Here is a 25493-nt window from a genome sequence, read left to right as displayed (position 1 = left end):
ATTCTTTGCTCCCTATTGTACCAGGCATTCTAGTTGTTCTGGTTTAATGATAATCAAATGAGGTCCACAGACCCGTGCCAGTTAGCAAACTGTGTGTTACTGGTCTATGACAAGAAATTTACATTAAGCATTTAGACACATTTATAGTCATTTGACACTACTAAGGCATCCTAGTCCATGTTCATTTTTCTAATCATTTTGATTATACAAAAGTATTGGCACATGAGAGGTTGGAAATTTTTAAAAAAAACGAAAAATTCTGTATCATTTGAGAAGCTTACTAGGATAGACACATACTGAAGATACTCTTGGCCTTCCAGGCACTAAGGTTTATTTGGAGTGAAAAGAGATTGTTATACAAAGTTGTTAAACAATAGTGTAAACACAGTCGTGAAAAAGAATATCATGAGGCAGCTGTAAATGGCCCAGTGCGCCACATCAGTGGCTGCGGTAACACTTGCCACAGATGTCCGGAGGACGAGGTCACAGTGCGGCAGTCTCCTTAAGCAGGTGGACTTGTTTTGATTTCCCCTGCGTCCCAGGCCTCCCGTCAGGGCCTACTCTGTCCCCTCTCACTCAGCAGCCTGGCGGGTTAATCTCCCGGTGAGCGAGAGCCTGTGAATGAAGCTGGATGGAGTTATATGTCAGACTGCAACAGGCATGCACTAAACATCTCGCTCCATCATCCTTGACGAGGCTTTGATGTTAGCGTGAAACACGTCCAATTACACGAGACATCATGTCATGTGTCAAGTCAGTGTCGGGGCTCCATCCTGACACTTTAATTAGTGGAGGTGGAGGGAAAGGGTGTATTATTTTTCTATTTCAAGGCAAAGAACCTGACTCCCACTGAGCACTGTTTGGTTATGCCCAAGCCTGAAAGTAGCTTTCTCTCCCTTTAAAAACAGAGCCTGTGCTGCTTAGGGTAATGGCCATTGTCTCCACTAACGAATAAAGCTATGGGCCAGTAAACCTAGTCTACCAGGAGCTGCTTTGTGAGCTACCCAAGCTGCCAAGTGTTCTCATCTTCAGCAACATAAATGCTTAGTAATTATGGACTTTGTTTCTTGACATTAAAAAGTGACTACTAATGCTCTTGTGTATCTCACAGGAGTATTAGTTGTTGAAGTTGAAGTAGTGCCCCTGGCAATGCCTTAGAGGCACGAATGAGACTACATGAATAGGCACGATGGAGGTGGGGGCTGAGTGGAGAGAGAGGGTGCAGTTAGGGACCTCTGCTCAGAAGAGCCCTTGGTCAATTAGCAGTGGTTTGTCCCACACCTGAAAACATCTTGTTTTGCTTGTCCCACTATGAGCAGGTGTTAAGTGTTGTGGTTCAGGGATATATTCCACCTAGAAAAGTGTCTAGGCATGAACACAGCTCTTTGCCATTTGTGAAGATGGCCCTGGGTAATGAGAAACCAGCGCTTTGCTCTCTGGTCCCGGAAGAAGGTCGTCCAACTTAATACCGAGTGAAATCTCTGAACGTCAATAAGCTGCATTCATTTTGACATCTAGACTCCTGTGTAATTAAGATCTCAGGTCTGGCGTTTGGTTTATCGAGCATGTGTCAATTCTCATTTACATAAGACTTTGGTTTTTCCCACATCTCTGCACAGACGCCGCCAAAAAAAAATTACTATTAACAAGGAGAGGGCTGAGGATAGAGTTACACAGCCCATCGTGTCTCTAATCCCTGCTTAACATTTCCCTTAAAAAGAACATTGCCCTATTCGGAAATTAAATGCTGTGCGTTTAGATGTTCTTTATGGAGGGAGAGGGGAGGTAGGTTTTCCACTGCTTTATATTGAGCTTGAAAAACATCCGATTTCATGCCCCTTATTCAACTGTGAAGCAGAATTTGATGCATAATTGGAGGGTGGTTTCTTTATCTCGCTCTTAGAAAACAACTGGCTGAAGCTTCTCTCACCTCCCTGTAGCTGGATGTTAAAAGCTGAGGCTGGCCTCACAGATTCCCTAGGTGTATTCATCTAGTTCTGTTTATTCAAACTGAAGTCTGCTGGGTGTAACTGGATCCCACGAAGGAGGAAAGGCACTTCAGGGACTGCTGGAAACCATCCTTCCCTCTATTTGGAGCTTCCTCCAAGGCAAGGGCGATGCGGACCCAACACTTTGGATGCCTCTTCTTCTTTCCATGTTAATGGCTACAAAGCAGATGGGTTTATTTTTGCAACTCAAATGAGAAAAAACATATTTGAAAGAAGTTAGGGCACTTTCACAGGACCACACATGGAGTTGGTTATATGACCTGGGAAATAGGACAGTCTTTATAAGTCTTCATTTTCACATCAATAAAATGTGCTCGTCTGTAAAATTAGGGATGGGGAAAGAAGTCTAATAAAAAGGCTCAGAGAAAGGAGATGCTGGAGTTGATGTAACAGGATTCAAGACTCTACGATATTAACTGTTTCAAGTAGAAAACCATCAAGAAAGGATAGAAATTTAGGATTGCTTTCAAGGAGCCTCTCATTCCAGATTTACTACTTAGTACTGTGTGACCTTGGGCAAGTGACTGTACCTCTCTGGGCCTCAGATGCCTCATCTTGGAAATAGATTATCGTGGTACTCACTTTGTAGTCTTGTTGTGAAGAGTAAATGAGGTAATTCTTTTTTTTTTTTTTTTTTTTCCAGATGCAGTCTCACTGTCACCCAGGCTGGAGTGCAGTGGTGCGATCTTGGCTCACTGCAAGCTCCACCTCCTGGGTTCATGCCATTCTCCTGCCTCAGCCTCCCGAGCAGCTGGGACTACAGGTGCCCGCCACCACGCCTGGCTAATTTTTTGTGTTTTTAGTAGAGACGTGGTTTCACCGTGTGAGCCAGGATGGTCTCGATCTCCTGACCTCATGATCCACCTGCCTCGGCCTCCCAAAGTTTTGGGATTACAGGCGTGAGCCACTGTGCCTGGCCTAAATGAAGTAATTCTTATAAAGCACTTGGAAGAATACTGACATAAAGTTGGCCTTCAATGTTGCCATCAGTAGTAGCAGTATTACTCTTACTACTACTGTTAATATTATTGATCAAGATGACCCTCTCCTCTGGATAACATAACAGTGATTGTCTCCACTATGGCCAGGTTCTTCTCTTACAGTCTATCCACAATATTTGTCTAATCCTAGAAGTTCTAGAAGGCATCCAAGAATCTAAGTTAGTGGTTCTAAGTCTCAGTTCACATAAAAATTATCTTAAGGATGCTGGGCACTAGTGGCTCACACCTGTAATCCCAGCACTTTGGGAGGCCAAGGTGGGCAGATCGCTTGAGCTCAGGAGTTCAAGACCAGCCTGGGCAACATGACAAAACCCCGTCTCTACCAAAACACACACACACACACACACACACACACACACACACACACACACACTAGCTGGGCGTGGTGGCTTGTACCTGCAGTCCCAGCTACTTAAGGGGCTGAGGTGGGAGGATCTCCTGAGCATGGAGAGGTCAAGGCTGCAGTAAGCAGTGATTGCAAGCCACTGCACTCCAGTCTGGGTGACAGAGCAAGACTCTGTCTCAAAAAAAAAAAAAAATCATAGGAAATGTTTAAAAATCCTGAGGCTTGGGTCCCATGAACTGAGATTTTTATTTATTTGATCTAGCGTCTAGCTGGGCCTTATGACTTTTAGAAACACTCCAGGTGATTCCAAGGCACCACTTGGCCAGTGGAAGGCCATGTTAATTTTATATTGAAAAAGACCTAGAATATAAATGGTTTACTAGTCAACTAATTTTCCACAAGGGCACCAAGAGGACACAATGGGAAAAGGATAGTCTGTTCAATAAATGGTGCTGAGAAAACTGAATTTCCACATGTAAAAGAACGAAATTGGACCCTTAACTTATACCACTCACAAAAAATAGACTCAAAATGGATAAAAGACCTACATGTAAGATCTGAAACCATAAAACTCCTAGAAGAGAACACGGGGAAAAAGCTCCTGGACAATTGATTGGCCTTGACAGGTTTTTTTTGGATATTGCACCAAAGGCTCAGGACACAAAAGCAAAAGCAAATAAATGAGAGCACATCAAACTAAAAAGTGTCTGCATAGCAAAGGAAATAATCAACAAAATGAAACAGCTTATGGGTTGGGAAAAAAATATTTACAAGCCATATATATGGTAAAGGGTTAATATCCCAAATTCATAAAGAACTCATACAAAAGGCTGGGTGTGGTGGCTCACGCCTGTAATCCCAGCACTTTGGGAGGCTGAGGCAGGTGGATCACAAGGTCAAGAGATCAAGACCATCCTGGCCAACATGGTGAAAACCCGTCTCTACTAAAAATACAAAAAATTAGCCGGGCGTGGTGGTGGACACCTGTAGTCCCAGCTACTCGGGAGGCTGAGGCAGGAGAATCACTTGAACCCGGGAGGTGGAGGTTGCAGTGAGCCGAGATTGTGCCACTGCACTCCAGCCTGGTGACAGAGTGAGACTCCATCTCAAAAAAAAAAAAAAAAAAAAATCATACAATAGTGGAAAAACCACATAACCCAATTTAAAAATGGGCAAAAGACCTGAATAGGCATTTCTACAGAGAATATGCAAAAATGGCCCACAGGTATATGAAAAGGTGCTCAACATCATTCATCATTAATTAATTATTAATCAAAACCAGATGAGATACCACCTTACACCCATTTGGATGGCAACTATCAAGTCACAAGATAACAAATGTTGGTGAGGGTATGAAGAAAAGAGAACCCTTGTACATTGTTGCTGGGAATGTAGATTGGTCCAGCTGTTATGTAAAATAGTATGGATATTCCTAAGGAAATTAAAAATAAAATTACCAGATGACCTAACAATCTCTCTTCTGGGCACATACCCAAAGGAAATGAAATCACCGCCTCATAAAGAGACCTGCATGCCTGTGTTCACTGCAGCGTTGTGACAGTGAACATAGGCAACAACCTAAGTGTCCGGTGACAGACAAATGAATACACTGTGGTATATGTCTAGATTGGAATATTATTCAGCCCTAAAAAAGATCTTGCCTTTGCCACAACATAGACGAGCCTGGAGTGCACTGTGTTAAGTGAAATAAACCAGACAAAGAAAGAAAAAGATTGCATTGTTTCAAGTATATGTGGAATCTAAAAACAAACAAACAAACAAAAACCCAACTGTACAGAAATAGAGAACAAAACAGTGATTACCAGGCAGGGGATAGCTAGGGAGGAGATGGGAGATGGAGGTCTGTATTAAGTAGGGAGGGTGGCCAGGTCTGGAGACCTAATGTACAACCGGAAGACTATGGGTAAGAAAACTGTGCTATATTTGGGATTCATGCTACAGGAGTAGATTTCAGCTGCTCTTGCCACCAAAAAAAAAAAAAAAAAAAAAAAAAAAATCAAGGAAAAATGGATACTTATGAGATGATGGCTATGTTAATTTGCTTCACTGTGGTATCTTTTTTACTATGTGTTTGTATCCCATATCATGTTGTTCCTTCAATATACACAATAAAATTCATTTTACAAAATGAGTAGAATAAGCTTTTGTTTCCCAAGCATAGTATTCATGAGTGTTATATGAGGTCCTGTTAGATAGTTTAGATTATATGTTAACAGTCCTCCAACTATTTTCATGTGAATTAGGACAAAAAAAAAAATAACTAGCAGATCGACTCCATGACTTCACATGTAGTATTCTTTACACTGAAAAAAAAAAAAACGAAACTAAAACATGGAGGGGAATCTATATAAGTTCAACTTAAGTAAAACATCAAGTTACTATTTACACATATATGGTAAAAAAAAAAAATGACTGGCACATAAGTGAGTAAGGCTTAGAAGACATGGTATGAACTAAATATGACTATTTTTATAATTCTGAGCAAATGTGATTGTTCTAAAGATTAAAGTGATTTTTATTCATCAATTGTAAAGTTTCTAGCATAAAAAAGGTAGATTTATGAAATACAAATCCAAACTTCTAACCTAAGGACACAAAAGTCTTGGTTTCCAGTAACTTATTTTCAGGACACAGAGATAAAAAAAATGTTCTTTCATATTTACTCAGAGCTGTAATTATAATTACTTTGTATATATGGACATGGTTAATGATAATGACATCCTGTATTTTCATAGTACCTTCCCATTTACAGTCGACTTTCACTGACATGAATTAGGCATCCTAATAACCCGCTGAGTTTGGATTATTAGCCCCTTGTCACAAATGGGGAAAATGAGGGCCAGAGGGGTTGGTTATGTGGCCTGTCCTACGTTACACATCCAGGACATGGAGGTGCAGGATTGGAACCACATCACCTAATCCAAAGTAGTGCTTTTTATTTTCTACCATGCTTACTCTTCTAAGTCTTGTCCATGCTGTCTGCTCTCTCTTCCACATTCAATTAAAAAATCCCTCAAGGGCACCTCTAACTGTGTAACAAAGGAAAACCACCTAATCATCTCCTCCCAGCTCTTTTGTTTATGCTTTTGACCAACTCCAATTTGTTCTCCAGACAATAGCCGAAGTCATCATGATAGTCAATCAATCATGATACCTCTTACTTAAGTCCCTGCAATGACTACCCAACTTGCTGTGTATGAATTCGATGCCCTGCTCCTCCTGACCCCGTCTCCCATCTCCTACTACTCTGTTCTTGCTCACTGGGCCCCAGCCAGCTGTGTCTCCTCTGGATTTCTCAACCAGGACAAACACTTGCTGCATCATGCCAGACGGTGCTGTTCCATGCAGCAGGTGTGCCCTCCCAAGAAAATCTAGCTTCGGTGTAACCTCCATGAACTGTAATTCCCTGACCTCCTGTTTGGGTGAGACCCCACTCCTTGCTCTTTCATGCAACAAACAGATCTTTCCTGCATAGCTTTTATTACGATTTGGAATTATTTATTGGTAAGATTATCTGTTTCAGATCTATCAGAAGGCATCTTCTATGAGGGTAGAGGTGAAATCACCTCCATATTTTTTTTCTACCCCTCTAGTCCCAGACGCAAACACAGTACTTAGCACATAGTAACTCAACAAATATTTGTTGAATTAATGAACAGAATATGAAATGGCTGAGGGGTAACTTTCCTACTCTGAGGACAAAGTGCAGTTTTCACTGCCTACACTGATCACAAGCCAGGGAGTCTGAAATGCTTGCAAAAACTTCAAGGCTTCCCAGGGCCATCTGCAAGGATATTATCCTGAAGCCACTGCTTACACCTGACTAGTACGACTACTATGCTGGATACTCAAGACAGGAAATGAGGACCTGTCAGGGGCTTCTAAGTTGCTATTCAGGAGAGGAAAGCTTTTAGTTAAACCAGTGGTAGAATACCCTGAGCCCTGTCTGCCTCGCCTTTCCAAGAAGAAGCATGCAAGAGCCCGAGGGTCACAATTTTAAAACCACATATCTAATAGATAAATACAGAACCAGAAATTAGAAAGCCGTATTCTATTCCCAACCATACCACGTTCTACTTCCGAGCCAATAAGTTGCTTTTATTGGCCAAACTTCAGTTTTCTTACCATTAAATAGATGTAATATTGTTTATCCTCCTTAACTCATATGATTGTTTTGTGGATAAAATAAGACAAAGATGAAAATATTTTGAATAGGTAGAAGTACTTTACAGTATTATTTGAGCCTGAGTTACACAGATAGGGTTTCTTCTCCTTAGAGGCTTCAAAATTAAGGAAGATGCACTGATTTCCATAGATACAAAAACATTCCAAAGACATAAACACAGTGAAAGGACAAATGCATTATTCATTGGCATTATGGATTTAGGTGGGTGGTCAGAAAGAAACAGTGTTCTATAATAGATCTCCGCCTGCGGATCAGGAGTCCTGGGTTTGAACCTACCTTGTCATCCATTTACTAGCTGTGCCAGTTTGGTAGGTCACAAAATCTCTGAAAGCCTCAGTGGCCCCCATCTGTAAATTGAAGAGGGAGGGTGAGAGTGGGTGGGAAGTGGAGAAATAGTAATGATATTATGATAGTTTGGAGGATCAAATGAAAAGTGGACTAGGAAAGGCCTTTGGAAACAGTGAAGTGACTTAGCAATGCAAGGCATTAGTATTATCCAAGCATTTGTGTGTTTAGCCAAGGGGCAGTCAGAAAGTCGTCAGGGAAGGCTGCCCAGAATAGCAAAGAAGTATCAAGAATGACTTAAATAATAGCAGGGAGAGGGCAGGTCTAGTCAAAGAACAAGTTTCAGGGGAGGGTGCAGCCTAGGAGAGGGCAGGTTTCCAAGGGGCTGGCAGGACCCAGCCAAGGTGGTGGGTAGCTCCCCTCTTTCCAAAAGCTGAAGTGGTTCCTAAAAGCCCTGGATTACAAGGCAGAGGACAGCATTCAGGTGGGGAGAATGTGTTAAAAGGATCTCAAGTACACTCAAGGATGTTTGTTTTTGATTAGAAGATGAGGATTAACTGGATTAATGGAGCCTCATGAATGGAGAATGTGCAGATGCTAATTGCCCCTAAATTACAGTGGATTCCATTGGAATTGTGTATTCCTCTCCACAAACCCAACCACTGCCTGCCTGCTCTCTCCTTCCCTCCCTCCCCACACAATGCTAAAATGAATGTGTCATTGTAACTGAGATGAAAGGCCTTGAAATTGATTTTCTACTTCCTTCCAAGATCTCTTGTTTGCAAAACACAGGAAGATGTAAGTTACTAATCGAGTTCCAGTTTATTTCAAACAAACAAACAAAAAATGTATTCTAGGGATTCAGTTGCTGGAAGGCTTTTTCAAGCCCTCATTTCTTGCTTAGTTTCTCTGCCACACCAATTAACTTAGTGGTTCTCAAAGTTGAGTGCACACCAGAATTACCTGGAAACCCTGTTAAAACAGATTGCTGGGCCCCACCCCACAGTCTCTGATGCAGTAGGTCCGAGGAGAGGACCCAAAATTTGCATTTCTAACAAGTTCCCCCAATGACAGCTATAGTGCTGGCCCAGGGCCACCCTTTGAGAACAAATGAACTAGGAAAATATCAGAGTATTTTAAGGAATCTGGCTAACAAAAAGAGTGCAAACCTCAAAGTCCTGTGGCTATGTCTTCTCGGAGAAAGTGGTGCAATCACTCAGAATTCAACAAATACCTACTGTTTCCTAAGTCAGCTATGCATAGATTCTCTTGGATTTGGTGAAGCTTACGGATAGCTTATGGGATCAACTTGCTTTGCTATTGCATGGGAAATGCAGAAGAATTTGCAACTGGGGTGTTTTCTTCCTGGAGTCCCCACCCATTCCTCCTCCTATCTGGTTTGCACACCCCCTCTTCTGTTGATTATACATGTCAAGTGGTGTTTTCACAGCTCCACAGCCATCACACACCTCCAGACCCCTGAACACTCCCTTTGCCTTGAAGCCACCAATATATGTCCAGGCCTATTCTACATTTATTTATAGGTCACTTTTGTGCAAGGCCTGGGCTGCTTTTGCTAGTGTTGCCAAAATTTTGGAAAGCAGTGGAATCAACACATTTTGGGTTCTAGCTCTCACCTTGCCTCTAGGTTACCATGTGATTGTCGAAAAAATACTTAAACCTCTGGGTAGGATTTTACTCATCAATTAAAGAAGTTATTAGTCTAGCTAGCTTAGTGGTTCTTCTCCTTTTGGGGGAAATGAAAATGAAATGTATGGACCTCTTCCTAGGAAAGTGGACATGTGCAAATAAATGCAAAATATTGCTCACAATTGTTAGACTGCCTGAATAATAATATAGTAATAACAAGCAATGATGATTATAGCATTTATTAAGTGCCAACTATGTGCCAGGCACTGTACAAGGCACTTTACATGTGTTATATTTAATCCTTGCAAGAATCCTAGGAGGTCACAATGCCCAGTTTCTAGATGAGAAAACCGTGGCAAAGACAAGAGAATTCATCTCAGTTCACCCAGCTGGTAAGCGCACAATGGGATTTGTGGGAGCCTACACAGCCCTGAAGCTGACCAATGGTCCTCTGGGACATGTATGACCCTGAGTTAAGAGTAGACGCAGTTCTAGGTGATAGTTCAAGTCCCCCTGAGCTCTGAAGTACATAATTCACAGATTTTTTTTTTTTCCCATCACTAATAACCAAACATTTGGAGAAATAACCCCTGGCATTCTTAAGGCTTCTGTGCATCAGAGGTGGTCACAAGGTTTACAATTTAAAGAATATTTGGGGATTAAACTCAGAAAACCAAGCCACCACAGTGCCACACTTCTGTCTTTTGTGGGTGTCTTAAAAATGAATGCTTTCTTATCGTAGTTTCTGACCAGAGGCAGCTTCCTTTAAAGGCTAAAGGAAGCAGCCCGTCTCAGCTCCAGCAGGTCAGTAATGTGACGAGATAAAGGGCAGTTCCTTAATGAAAACCACTCTCCCTCCTGCCAGTAAAGGAGTTTTCTTAGTGCATTTCAAGTCCTCTAACACCTCTTCCCAGATCAATGGCTTTTCATAAATGCACCAGGAGATCTTTGAACCACTAATGCTTCAGGGGCTGTTTAGGTTTGGAGTCAAACTGTTTAATATAACTCTCCTCCAAGTCTGGCTCTATTGAAAGGTCTCAGGAAACAAGGCAGGAGGAATGTATAAAAAGCAGAACCGCTGCGGCCAAGTGACGTCCCTCGCCTGCCTCGGCCTTCTGTTTATACAAGCAAATTGGACCAGGCTTATTACATTCAGGAGGGGGAAGGAGGAATAAAGTGGCATATGGGTCACGGCGGAGAGTTGAGTGAAAAGGAATCAGATTAAAGGTGCCTTTTGATTGGAGTGGAGCAAGTCATTTGCTTAGGAAGCGGGGAAAGCCATTGATTGACTTCATCAACAGATTAAGCACTACAATAAAAACTGCATTGTGCTGGAGAAGTGTGGGCCAGACTTCTGCATGTTCCTGGGAAAATGAGTGCCATTTAATTTAAATACTTGTTTAAACACTTACGCTAGAGGAAGTGTCTTTTCAAAAGGGACATGACTATGAGCATCAAGAAATATTATAACAAAGGCTAGTCTTTTCTATCTAAAGCTGTTCCCACACTTGCTTTCTCCAAGCCCTTGGTAGGAATGATAAAATAATCAGAAAGGTGGGCATTTCCTAAATGTAGCCTGTGCAGCACTGTGCTATGTGCTTTACCTCATCTACTGTTACTAACTCTACTTTCAGATGGGAAAACTGAACCCCAGGGCACATGAGCAACTTGAGCAATATTATACCAATCTGGGATGGGCACCTCAATTTTCTTTTACTCAACCACCATCCTAAGTCTGTCTACCCATGGAAACATGATCCACTGTCATCTAATGTTTCATTCTTTTACTCCTAAAGATCTATGACTTACTGGTAAATTTCATGTTGTTCCACACAATATCCCCTCATTCAGACTTCAAGCCTCCTGAGGGCAGGGACCATGTAGTTTTAAAATTTTGCCTTCCACCACAGTGCCTGGTACAGTAGAGACCTGGTCCCTATCCTTTATTCTTGAAAAGTCAATCTAAAAGTAGCTCTAGAGTTTTGGGGTGGGTTTTTTTTTTCTGATGATAGTATTCATAGAAGCTCACTGCATAAAATATTGTTTTAGGCGCTAAAATTATATAAAAATTAAAAAAGCCAGCAGAGGTAACAGTCATTAACATTTCAGTATATAGCCTTCTACTCTTTTCCTTATATACATACACATGTAAAGATATATTTTAAATAGGATTATGCTATGCATGTTGTTTTGTAGGCTGATTTTTTTTGCTAACAATACATCATGGGCATCTTTCCATATCAATAACTCTAGATCTTCAGCAGTCTGTATATCATAATCCTGCACGGTGTTCCATTGTGTGGTTGTGTCATGATTCACTTAGTTCACAATGAATGGACTTGGGTGGTCCCTGATATTTGCTTGTCTCTGCAAAGATGGAGCAGACATTCCTGAACTTACAAATTGATGCTCCTCTTTCAGTCCTTGTTCTTGACCCAACTTCTTGAAAGCTTCACACCCACCACATTTGCTTGGATTGCAGTTCTCCTAGAAATGGCAAAACAACATACTTTGTCTATTTCAGGAAGCCTTCTTACAATTTCATTTTTAATATTAAAATTAGGCTGTGGCATTTCCCTTCGAACAGAAGGAAGTCACAGGTGCCCATTTCTGATGCAGTTCTCAGAATATCCTAATCTCCTCTCCTGCTGAACAGTCTCTGCCAGGGAGTCACCACACCCAGGAGCTTAAGAGTCATTTTCATAAATTCCCCATCTATGAAATTGCTGTGGACAGTTAATAAACCCAGAGTCAAAGGCTAATGGATGCCAGCAAGAGCATGGGGAGAGGAGACAGGCTGGTGATTGGGGGATTTGGGAAATTAGCCACTCACCTTTTAAGCATCCTGGGAAATCGCAGGTGGCTATAGCTATGCTAGGGCCAAGCCAGGTATAAAGGCGGAACTAGGGGAGAGTTCAGGCTGGTAGTAACAGATAATACAAAGTGCAGGCCCTGGGAGCCTTATTTATTATTTTCCATCAGCCAAGTGAAGGCAATTTTTAGATTTAGACTTTTTTTTGATGAACTATCACCATGGTGATGGAATTGGAAATTCTTTTCCTGACAACATTGCTGTTAAACCATTTGTTTAATTATTTGCATACCATGACTCTAGGAGGCCCCTAGAGCTGTATGCTTCTCTCTGTACAAAAGAGAGTTAATCTCAGGCATCTCTTAGTTTCCTTACAGCACAGAGATCCAAGTTTTCTATATGCCTCGTCTTTACCAGGTATGGATTGAGGCTCCTGGGGGTTCCACAGAATTCATCTTGCAAAAGATGTTCATGAAAGAACAAGATTGAAGAAAAGAAAGAAGAGCAAGGAATGTACCATCTGTTCTGGGAAAAATGGTTTTGAGCCTCTCTACTTCTTCTCTGGACCCAACAGATTTGGTTTCTGGCACATCACATCTACAGAATCACCTATAGGCCAGAGATGTTGGAAGGAGACTTTCAGTAAGTACCTTCTGGTACGAGCTGGGAACTCTGGAGTCTAAGTTACCTTTTCTATTATGGGGCTGGAGCCATTTCTGAATTCATCCCTTTCCTTCCTTGAATAATAGTGTCTTTAAAATTCCAGATGGATTCAAGATATATTTATGTATTTTAATCCCCTCTCTTAACTCTGCAGCTGACTCCAGAACCATATCCAGAAAGGTCTCTTCTAAACATCCCTCCCTGATTTGGGTCGTGCTTATTAGCGAAAGAGAATGAGCTTGCTTCCTGAGTCTTCCTATACTTTGCCCTGACCCACACTTCCATTCAGACCTGGTCTCTGAAAAATTACTAGCCCCAATTATAATGAACAGTTTCCCCATGAGAAGTAATTTAATTTTGCAAATTGTTGTCCAAGTCATAAGGGTTGGAGGTGTCTGGAGACTTTGGGAGCGGCAGTTGTTCTCTAATCCTGTGGCCCTGTGGGGATACTGTGTACATCAGGGTAGGAATTTCTTCAAGCTGAACCAATGTCTCCTCTTTCTGCCTTTTTCCTTATTTTGTCTCTTTCTTGCATCACTGCTATTCTTCCTTAAAGACAGGCAAGGGGTTGGTGGATTCCAGGCTGTTACCACCCCGCTTCTGGAGGATGTGGTGCGTGTGACAGCTTGGGCAAGGCACAGAGCCCAGGCTGTGTGTGTCACACTCCGTTCCCACCGACAAACACTGCTGCTCGCCTCCCTGTCCAAATCTGATACCACGTATGTTCTCCCGATCCTGTGCTGTTGCTCTGGAAACCAAGGAAGCAGCAGGATCTGGAGTAGGTTCATGGCCGAGTCAACCTTAAAAGTCTCCCAGACGTTTCAGCAACTTCCGGCAGGAAAAATGTACCTGCACCCCCTGCCCAGTGAGAAGTTTTTGACTGATAGCTCTCTCCCCCGTGGAAAAGTTTGCCTCCTGAAGTTAGAGAATGTCTGTCTTCCCACGGCTCATGTTGTGGGCAGGGTAGTATATTGGATGAAGATTCAAACTTCAGGATCTCAGGCAAATTCCAGCCCTGCTGCCTACCAGGTCATGCACATAACAAATAAATAAGAACGTCATCTTATCCCCTTCAAATGCCACTCTGCTTCCTCCCGGGGTGGACTGGCCATCTTGCAGTCTCCACATTGCTGAGTTCCGGTACTGTGTTCACGCTCAATAATCTGCTCTTGGGATTAAGTTCCTGGCTCAGAGGCTTAGCAGCTGGGTGACTGGCATGTTCTTCACCTTTCTGGTCCATCTACTGGTTATTCACCAAAAGGGAGTAATTATGCCTACCTCGAAGCTATGTTTTGAGAAAGAGAATTGCATACATGAGGTCCATAGGTCAGGACACAGCCCCAATATGACCAGCTGGCAGAATCACATTCTCCAATTGTAGCATGCGAATGTTTCCACTGGGAAGAAAAAAATTTCTTTCCCTTTTCCCAGCCTCAGTCTTTCATTCCTTTCGAAAGATGCATCTGACTTCATAATACCAGCTCACCTCTGTCTTTAGAGATAGGTAAAACAGAGTTATAAAACTCAACCCCTGACCCTGTGCCCCACTCCCACCCACACACAGCCATCCCAGCATTATTACCTTTGCTGGCACCAGACAGGTAAGCCCTTCAATATGGTGGAATGTAGGTGGGGGAGCCTAGGAGTTTAGGGCAAAGAAGATGGGTTGAAGATAACAGAAGAGTGAGAGCAGGTAGCTGTGGTGGGAAAAAAAAAAGAACAGAGGGTAGAAATACAAGAGGAATGAGGAAGAGAGCAAGCAAGGAGAATGACCCTATGAAGTCAGCAGCCTCCTAGGTCCACAGAAGTCTGGGGAGAGTTTACTGTAGGCCTCTTCTCAATGCACATATCCTACAACCCAGAGGCCTAGAGCTGTTTCGAAAACAGATGACAGAGCTTTAGTCTTACAATTATCCTTTTAATGAAAATTCCACCCCTCTTTTTTCTTTGAATACAGTCCTAAAAAAATTTCTACACACAGACAAAATAGCTATTTTTCAAGTAACAGAGGAAAACAAACCCCAAACCCACCCATACAACCATGCTCACTCCTCTGCATAGCAGCACTAGGTCCTCACAGAGGAGCTCATACCAAAGCCTGAGTGTTCAGGATCTTCAGTGTGTTGGCATTGTACCTAGTTATATGCATGTACACACTCATGCAATTCCTAAAAAAGACATCCAAAATGATGAAAATATGGCTGGTGTAATAATAACCTGATTAAGAAAGATAGCATGCTTGGATAAGGGAAGTTAGAGCTTCCGTTTCCTCAGGCAACATCATATACACAGAACACATCATGTTAGAGTGGGTGGCACTAGAAGTACAAACAATACTGGACTCTTAGTGAAATGGTGATATATTTTTTTTCTTATTACCTGTTCACCTTTTGCCCATTTTCTTGTGGAACAAAGCAGGGCTGTAAGCTGGGGTGGGTGTGTCCTTTTTGGGTGTACTTAACATGTTTGAGCTTAGAGCGCTCACTCTCTTGTTTCTTGGCTTGGCTTTTGCTCCCCTCGGGAGGATGTCAGGGCACACACTGGACAATGCCACCACTTGTTCTCACGCAGAGTTTCATCTAAAACCATGAGGGGCCTGAAACTTCTTCCTGCCTTTGCTTGTTACCCCCCGCAAAAACCATCACATTTAGTAAGATGCTTTTAGGTGTGAGAAACACACATCTCTGGCTCAACCTTTCTTGAGTTTTCAGTCTCATTGTTTTTAGCTACAGGATCATTTTTGTACAAGGCAAACATAGGAAATACATAGTGGGTGAAAACTCAGTCTACAAGTGTCTGTATCCAAGAAAGGTGACTTTTATTGTTTGTAACAGTTTCTCACTGATGTTCACTTTTCCCTGTTCACAAAAACTAAATAGCAGGCACTTGCAAATAATCCCTCTGCCTCCTTTCCAGGACTGTGTCCAAGTTTCAGAGAGTATAGCGGTGCCCAGCCTAAGGGAGGAGGTAGTGGGCATCTAGTTCATGGAACCTAAGTCTGTCCACCTTGGTGTCCAATGAAATAACCCTTTCTCACTCAATATGCTTCTTCCCTACAATTCTCGAGGGCACAAAAAATCATCCTTTTACTTACTGCCTTGCTCCTCAGCGGCTCTGGGAGACTCTCGAAGGCTGTCTTTCAGGCGATGCCGCTCATTGCCATCATGAAGCCATTCCTCCTTGAATGCTCCTGCAGTGGCATGGAGGCAAGGGAATTCTCAGAGGCTTGCCCCCTGATGTTTTCCCCAGCTGGAGGAATCTTTGGTGGAGGGAGACTCCTAATTCTGACTGATCAAGTATACTCTGAGCACACTTAGGGTTTAGATCTACAATATCCAATAGAACTTTCTGTGATGATGGGTGTGTTCTATATGTGTACTTCCATTACAGTAGCCACAGTCACACGTGTCTAGTATGACCAATGAACTGAATGTTTCATTTTAATTGACCTCAAATAGCTCCATGTGGATAGAGGCTGCCATGGTGAGCAACGCAGGTCTAGAATTTTGAAACTGAGAGACGAAGAATTAATGTCTTTATTCTCTATGCTATCCTGGGACAATTGGTCCTTAAGGCAAAGGTGAATTATATCTGGTCTGCCTAGATACAAGGGAGTATGAGTGTCTTGGAAGGGGCAGCAACACATAGGTTACTATTTTAAAATACTATCTTGGCTGGGCACGGTAGCTCATGCCTGTAATCCCAGCACACTGGGAGGCCGAGGCAGGTCGATCACCAGAGGTCAGGAGTTCGAGACCAGCCTGGCCAACATGGTGAAACCCCGTCTCTACTAAAAATACAAAAATTAGCCAGGCATGGTGGCTGGTGCCTGTAATCCCAGCAACTCTGGAGGCTGAGGCAGGAGAATCACTTGAACTGGGGAGGAGGAGGTTGCAGTGAGCCGAGATCATATCACTGCACTCCAGCCTGGGTGACAGAGCAAGAGACTCCATCTCAAAAAAAAAGAAAAAAGAATACTATCTCACCATAAATACATAAAAATTCATGTTGCTCAAGTTGAATTTGTGGGCAGCCCAGAACCTGCCCCTTGCCCATCCCTTAAGATACTGAGGCACCTCTGACAGATCACAGGCATTCTTGGAAGCTGCTTTGGAAACCTCTGAGCTAGTTATAGCTAAAATCCAGTCTGGTGCTGACATTCCAGGGTGTAGACATCTATATATCTATAGACAGAAGAACTACATCTTCTAGATGAGGAAGTCCTGGCTTCCAAGGTGTAGTGACTTGCCTTAAGCACATAGCTCATTTCTAGAAGGTTCTGAAAGCCAGGTCTGTCACACTCTATTCAGAACACTTTCCTCCCTACTTCATAGTCTTCTATAGGACTCTAACCCTGACACTTCACTGTTCCGTCTCCCCTGGAAATAATGATTTCCTGGAGGAAGGGTTATCTTGCTCTAGCACTGTGTGTGGCAGGGCATCTACTGGTCAGTGATGGGGAAGACAAATTCATTATGTGGGTATTTTAGAAAGTGAGCAGAGACTTCAGGCAAAAGTAGTTTCCGCGACCACTGTCCTCTCTGGTTCTGCGTGTTTCTCTTTCCCCTTTACATAGGTAGCAATCCCTTTACCCACCATCCATGCTTTTGCAGATGGTAAATGTGTTCTGAATGAGAAGATTTCATTCCTTAACTCTAAGTTCTAACCTAAGGAAGGAGGCTCTGTGTTTAAGTTAAATTAATTCAGCTGCTGTAACAAATGAATTTAATACAATGTATAATGACTCAAATTGATTGAGGTTTATTTCTCTCTCAGATAAAGACCAAAATGGCTTTTCTTAATGAGTAGGTGGCTTCCTTCCAAGTAATGATTAAGAGACCCAGATTCCCAAACTCCTTTACTCAATTCATGATTAAGAGTAATCATTAAGAACTCTGCCACTTTCAGCAGTAGGTTCAATGCTAGGTTTGTCAACATCGTGGGGGATCAAACTCAGGGAAGTTTCACGGACCAAGCCAGGCCAATTTCCTCTCCTTGAATGGAACTCAGTCACATGATCAGGACCAACTGCAAAGGAGACTGGGAGATGTAGTCCTAGTTATGTAGCCAGGAAGACAAGGAAATATGTTTGTTCAACTGCCAGCCAGTCTCACTACCCTTCTAAACCAACATTTGGCAAACTTTCTGTAAAAGGCCAGATAGTAAAATATTTTAGGCTTTGTAGGTCATACTGTTTCTCTCTTAACCACTCACCTCTGCCATGATACTATGAAAGTAACCACAGACGATATGTAAAAAAACTAAATGGCAGGACTTCCGATAAAACTTTATTACAAAAACAGGCAGCGGCCAAATTTGTCCTGAGAAATGGCCTTTATTTGTCAGTCTCTGTTGTAGCCCAGGGAAAACACTTATTCCCAAGCAAAACACAGAACAAAGAGCATTTTAAACTATCTGCAAAGAACTGAAAAAGTTATGTCTGTTTTCACTGCTGGAGGCAGTGAAAGAAAATGGATTAAGAGGACATAAAAAGACTCAAACATATTTAATCCTTTATAAAAGAGAAATGTTTTCTGCTGTGCTTTGAAGGAAAAGAGTGATAGCTATAGGAAGAGGACATTTATTTAAAATGTAAATTTCAGGATTCCACCCTTAGTATTTTGGAGTTGGGGCCCAGGAGTCTGCATTTTCCATATGCTCCCCTGCTCATTTTAAGCAAGTGGTAGAGGTAGCAGGTGATCATAATTTGCTAATTGCTGCCAAGCCATCAGTTTTTCTGACATTTGTGGATGTAACTACTTATGAGCCTATGGAATATGTGAGAAATAAGATACCGTGCATATGCAAAGCCGCTGACCTAGGTAAGCCTAACTCTTCTTTTACCTTCAAGGAAGCTATCAAAATACAAGGGAATGTGAGTGATCATACAAGTCTCCCTAATTTATTCTTTTAATGAATTAACTTGGGACTCTAACTTATAACTAGCAACTTGTGCTGTGGTGCAACCCACAATTTAACGCAAAGCAAAGGGCAGAGAGTCAAGACTTCAAACTAGGCTGTGACCCGGAAGGCAGTTTGGCTTCTTTCAGGCATTCCATCACTTGCTTCCCGCCTCTGCAAAGGTCGACCCCCAGGTCTGAGAAGGGACAGTGTTTGCACTGGCAAGAGAGATCTGCAGTCTTGTGGAATGAGTTGACCCAGCTGGAAGATCCCAATTCTGAGTGCCATGTCACTTCCTTTCTCCTTCCCAGGATGCAGCTAAAAGTTCTCCCTTTGCTGTCTATGAAAGATGTAGCCCTGTACAAGGCTTCCTTCCTGTTGCCCAGCAACCCAGAGTGGGGGAGGCAAATTGGCCTGGAGACTCGGGGCGTGACTAGTTGTCAATGCAGGGTGCTAATGGGCACCTCAGCAGAGAGAGGCAAAACTGCATTCCGAGTGACCTTGAGACAGCCACTGCAGGAGTTCCTAGGGAAAGGAGTCCCAGACAGCCGTCAGCGTGTTCCCGTTCCAAAGATGTAGTCAAAACAGAAGGAAAAGGAAAACTGCCATCAGACCCCCTGCATTTCCCTAGAAATAGCCAGTCATCTACCAGAGTTGTCGGAGATATTTTAAATTCCCTTCGCAAGAAGACTGCAAAGCATTGAAGAGTGAAGAGCAAATCAATACAGTGTTTCCACAGTTCACCACCCAACTCGGAGATAAGACAGAGAAAAAAATTACCCAAAGATTTCTTTTTCTGGTAGACGATAGGACTCTTGCGCTCACGCCTGATTTCTCGGCATGGAAATGTGCCCTTAGCTGTGAACAGATCTTCATGTTTCTTGAGTCCCCATGTCTCTGGGACCATGTCCAGCATCCTCCTCTCACCTGTCTGTCTATGAAAATGGGCTGCTAAACCCTCTTTGACTCAGCAGTCTGGCAGTGTCCTGGGCTCAGGTTGATACTCTGGCAACTGAGCAGCTCACCTCCCTGCAAAAAAGAAGGCTTTATTTTTATTTTACTGCCCTTTTCAGATGGGTTTGGTAAAATGTATGAATTCAGAAAATTCAAGCTGGAAGGGGCTTGCGCCGGCTTTGGTTCACTCCCCTAATGCAGACAAGGGACTGCTTCTCGATGACTTCAGTGTAGATAGGAATCACCCCAGGAGCTTGCAAAAAATGTGGGTTTGGGGGCATCCCCGTCCCAGGGATCTGCCTCAGTTTTCTGGGGTGGGGCCTGAGAACTTGTATTTAACATAAACTCTTCAGGTGATTCTGACGCAGACAGTATGAATGTTGCAGGTAACTCTGGAACTAGTATAAATAGGATACATGCAGGCTTCTGGGGGGTGGGTGGAAGATTTGTTTTGTGTCAGAATTCCTTCTTGGAGATGTATGGGTAGAACCATAACCTCGTCAGCAAGAGAATCTAGCAATCTTACCAGCCTGTGTTTCTTTGTCCTGCTGGAATTTTCCTCCTGCTTAAGCCCATTTTTCCTGTCTTTGACTCTTAGTGGCTCCAGATTACTTCTCTGACTCCTCCTTATGAAAGCTAATAAACCAAAGAAGACTTAGGAGATGCTTGGACACACTAAGCTGTTCCTTAAGCTTTTTTTTCTCATAGACAATATTTATTGACAAGCTTCTTCCTTGGACTGCTTATTTACACCCCTTTTGACACCTCTTTAGAATTACTGCTGCAGCATGCACCTTCAAGGTCATCCATTGCTGCAGGAGATTTAGCCCATTGCCATGCAGAGGCTTGTGGGAAGCATCAGTTGACTCAAAGGAGCTGGCTGCAATTTGTCCTGCTCCTTTCAGCCCTGCTGCCAGCGAGGCCTTGCCTAAGTGTTATGAATGTTCCTCAGGCTGCCAAGGTGGCTGCTTTCCTTTCCTTAAGAGCTTCCTTTGGTGAGAGCAGCTAGCATTTCCAAGTCTTGTATCTTTCTAGCCCCATTTCATGCCATGCTCTTTTTAGCTCTTTCGTTAACATTTCCGTATTAGGGACCTTCAGTGCCTGATGTGAGCTGGGCATTGGGAAGGAGTCGAAGGGGATGTCCCAGGAGAGTCCAGAGTGGGGATAGGTGGGGAAGTCAACTATCTGGAATCACAGATGATAACATGCGAAGCAGCCTGATCTCCCTATCTCAAAGTAAAGGCCATAGATGTCTAACTTAAAGGTCTGTCTATGCCACGAATTTGCCTGACCTCTTTCCAGGGCAAAGTGATTTTAACTGAAGATCCATAATGACTTTTAAAGGCGGACTACAGGACAAGTCACACAAAGTGCTGAGTTACTTGAGGATTTAAAGCAGTTGCTTTCAAGAATACTAGAGTTCTGCAGTAATAATTCACTTCACAAGGAACAGCACAGTATGGAGCTTAGAGACGGAGCTGGATTCAAGAGTGGGATTCAAACCCCACTCTTGCTCTGTGACCTGGGATCAGTCTGTTGCTCAGTCTAATGCTCTCTGTTCCTCCCTCAAGTAGCAATATGTGTAAAAATGATACAAACTCCAAAAAATAACATTTATAGAGCATTTACTATGTTCCTAATGTTGTATTAAGTGCTTTACATAATTTTTTAATTGAAAAATCACACCAAGCCTTTGAGGTCTATACTATTATTTGTCCCATTTCATAGATGAAAAAGCTGAGGTGCCAAGGGCAGAATCTCTGAGAGTATTAACATGCCTTTAACACTGTGCTGTCGTTGATCTGTATGTTATTGTGAGGATTAAATGAGATACATATATGAGGAGCTCAGCACAGCTCATAGCATACAGTGCTCAGTAAATAAGAATTACATGTATTATATGTTTTTAATGGATGGATATGTCCCAAATGGAGTGACTTCTCAATAGGAATAGATACACTTAATAATGATAATATCATTTATTAGTTTTTATAAACTTGCATATTATATCCCCATTCCTAGGAAGGCTTTCTGGTTCATAAAAATCACTCCGCCAGTAATCAGCATGATACCTTAGTTGCTGGTCATTTCACCCGTTAGCTGTGTCTTGATTTCTACAGCAGAAGTGTTGCATTTCTGTGAGCACATGTGCTTCTGTATTAGACCAAGTGTCTTGGTGCAGGGGCTGTATTTATTGCTCTGTAGCCCCGGGACTTAACCAGGAGACCTTTGCTTGCAGACTGCCTGGCTTTTCTTACTCAGCACTCAACAGGAGACTTGGGGATTTATCTCACAGCCTGAGAAGCACGTGGGAAAAATAGCTACTCAAAACTTTGTGAAGAAAATTCCTAATTTGCTGGCTTCCCTGGTCTGCGGCTGGGGCTCACTGGCCTTTGTGAGGCAGACGAAGGAGATTTGACAAAGAGAGGAAAGAAGAAAGGCAGAGATGGGACAGGAAGAGCAAGGGGGCAGACAGAAAGTTGTGTGTGTGTGTGTGTGTGTGTGTGTGTGTGTGTGTGTGTGTGTGTGTGTGTGTTTATATTTTTCTGAGTCAGAATCTCATTCTATCAGCCAGGCTGGAGTGCAGTGGCATGATCATAGCTCACTACAGCCTCAAACAATCCTCCCACCTCAGCCTCCCAAGTAGCTGGGACTATAGGCAAGTACCACCACACCTGGCTAATTTTTGGTTTTTGTTTTTGCTGTGTTTTGTTTTTGTACAGACAGGGTCTCACTATGTTGCCCAGGCTGGTCTTGTATTCTCTTGCCTCAGCCTCCCAAAGCACTGAGATTATAAGCATGAATCACCACACCTGGCCAGAGTAATGTTTTCCATAAGATTATAAAAGTTTGAAACCGGGGAGATCCTTAGAGAGTATCTATTCCAAAGTCTTAATTTTATCAATAAGGTTAGAAAGTTCCAGAGAAGTTAATTGTGCAAAGTTACACAGCTATGGATTATGTATCACTTTTGGACAGTTGCAGCGGACACTGCTCCAGCCTGTCCATGCTTGCACAAATGCATGCATATTGGTCAACTCTGGCTTTTGGAACATCATTGCTGAGTGGCTCCTGGAACTGTCCCTAAACAGAGTTCCCCACAGTCATTAACACACACCTGCAGGAGCTTCCCTGCCAGATCCAGGGTCAGCAGAAAGCAGGCCCTCAACCTGCTCTTGCAGGAGGACCCTTTACCTCCTGAGCATAAAATCAGCCCTGTAGGGGAGGGGTGTGAGGGAGGGATGATTATGATGACAAGGGGATGTCCCAGAGCCACTCTTGTTTTGTCCTTTCCTAATACACAGAAAAACCAGGCTGAGCCAAATATATCAACTCATAGATGGTGTTGCTTTGTTTTTTTTTTGTCCAGTTAGTTGGTTTGTAATTCATTTTATATGGATGGATAGCCCTTATCAATGACAAGGTTTTGCTTTTTGCCCTCCTGCAAGTTTGGTTCTGTAATCTACAAGGTCATTATTGCCACCTTCTGAGGTTGCATTTTTATTTTTATTTTTTTGAGATGGAGTCTCGCTCTGTCACCCAGGCTGGAATGCAGTGGCATGATATCAGCTCACTGCAACCTCTGCCTCCCGAGTTCAAGTAATTCTCCTGTCTCAGCCTCCTGAGTAGCTGAGACTACAGGCATGTGCCACCACGCCTAACTAATTTTTGTATTTTTAGTAGAGACAGGGTTTCACCATATTGGTCAGGCTGGTCTCAAACTCCTGACCTCAGATGATCCACCTGCCTTGGCCTCCCAAAGTGCTGGGATTAAAAGAATGAACCACTGCACCAGCATGAGGTTGCTTCTTAATGCTCCTACACTCAGGGCTAGCTCACCTTCTCTGCCCTATTTTCCTTCCTTCTCTTCATTCCTGTGTGCAAAAGGCACTGTTTTCCAGCTCAGAGGAGCGAAGGAAAGTGTGTGTGTCTGTGTGGAGGAAGCCGGCTTGACGTTGGTCTTGACCTGTCTAAGTCTATCCTAGGCTTCAGCCAAAGAAAAGCCCTGGCTGTGGCTATTCTTTCTCTTCTCCACCTCACCATCCTCTCCCCCACCAGTACTTCAGGTTTCCTGGCTCTCATCAAATTTGTACTGACTTTCCACTCCATGGACTTAGGTATTCAGGACCTGGCCAATTTTGGTTCAGAAAATTTTCTGGATATATATAGCTGGAGAGAGAGAATAAGAATACATGTATAATGTATAAAGGCAGGTGATACTACCAGATAAAATTATCTTCTTGAGTGATTCAGTCCCTTTGTATCATGCCACAAAGATTATGTTCACTCCATGAGTGTGTCATAAAGCTTTGAGATATCAAGAGTGAAAACATAACCAACCTGCCTGCCTGCCTGCCTGCCTGCCTGCCTTCCTTCCCACAAAACATTCTGTATTGTGCAAGCTTCTCTGTAATACCAGGCAGGCAGACCTCAAAGTTTTTGCGAGGCATTTTATGACTTTTATCCTTCTCCCTCATCCACTCAGTGCAATAACTATCACACACAGGAACTATAGCATGAACAAGACAGGCAGTCTCTCTTCTCAGGGAACCAACAGCCTAGAGGCCTGCAAGCCAGAGCAAGTATGCAGATCTATAAACCAGGCACTTTAGAGTAAGTGGCATGAGAAAATACGACAATGTGAGGAAGAAGGAAGAGGTAAGTAACTGTAGGTTTGGAGGGCAGGTGAATGAATATTTGAGCAGAGACCTGAAGGAGTAGGAGCCAGGCCTGCTCAAAATACATTTGTCTTTCGAGGAGCTGCATGGGGCCCCGGCTGCCCTGGGCCACCTATTTAGCCCGGGTTTAATTCCACATGAGCCTTCATCTCAGAACGGGCGTAAGAGGCAGAGGTCAAGCAGCTGCTGAAAGTGGAGTAACCCAATCTTGGGCACAAGTTGGCCTTTAATAAGCATCCAGGTAGCCCTTTGAAAAACGAAACCTGTGGTCAGGTCTCTGAGAGCAGAAGGATCGGGTTTCAGTTTTAATTACAAAACCAAAGAGCTGTCCCATTTTGCTCCATTTCGGCTTCCCCCAGAAGAGGTTTTCCTGTCTCCCATCCTGGGGGCCCTGACGTGCTTACCTGACACAGAGATGGGCTGCTCTAGGTGCAGCACACGGAGCTTGAGTTGGCCAGGCTTGCGAAATGGTAGGATGGAAGCAGAGGCCCCAGATGGGATGTGAGAGCGGGTGATGAAAAGCATGTGGGAGGTGAGGACTGGGTTTGGGGGTTGTTGGAGTTCACATTTGTGGGCTATGGCTCAGATTATGACATCACAGAAGGATGGGACAACTTTGAAGCCCAGGAGAATGTGCGTGTCTTTTCTTCTCCCTTGTCCCCTGCACCTGGCAGAACCTCTGCTCAATGGAAGATAAAGCGATAAGATGGGGATGTGGCCAGTGCTAGTAAAAGACCCCTTTTAATCGCTCACATTTTTGGCACTTGCTATGTGCTAGACACTGGATTAAGCAGCTAACCTGCATTATTTTGCTTAACTCGGTCAGTGTTTCATACAGCAGATAGTAGCGCTATTCTCATTTGATAGACGCAGAAAGTGAGCCTCAGAGAGGTTAGATAAGTGGCCCAGGCTCCTCCGTGAGTAGGTAATGGCCGGGGTTCATCCCAGGTCTGACTGAAGAGTCCATATTCTTTACATCTTTGCCT

At 43.2% G+C, this 25493-nt stretch overlaps 1 protein-coding gene and 1 long non-coding RNA gene across 4 annotated transcripts in view; one reads left to right on the top strand and one right to left on the bottom strand.

Annotated features, from left to right (window-relative positions):
* SLIT3 (slit guidance ligand 3) overlaps positions 1–25493 on the top strand; it is a 639400-nt gene that overhangs the window by 262844 nt on the left and 351063 nt on the right. The gene's annotated exons all lie outside the window — the stretch shown is intronic.
* SLIT3-AS1 (SLIT3 antisense RNA 1) lies at positions 298–25069 on the bottom strand. The gene is made up of 5 exons (NR_109897.1): positions 24912–25069; positions 11899–11985; positions 7840–7910; positions 1931–2165; positions 298–615 (listed from the first exon to the last, which is right to left on the bottom strand). It is a non-coding gene; the product is annotated as an SLIT3 antisense RNA 1 (long non-coding RNA).

The sequence above is a fragment of the Homo sapiens genome, chromosome 5 (genome assembly GCF_000001405.40).
Source record: "Homo sapiens chromosome 5, GRCh38.p14 Primary Assembly".
Taxonomy (NCBI): Eukaryota; Metazoa; Chordata; class Mammalia; order Primates; family Hominidae; genus Homo; species Homo sapiens.
Note: the sequence above shows the minus strand (reverse complement) of the source record. Positions and strands in the feature narration are given on the sequence as shown.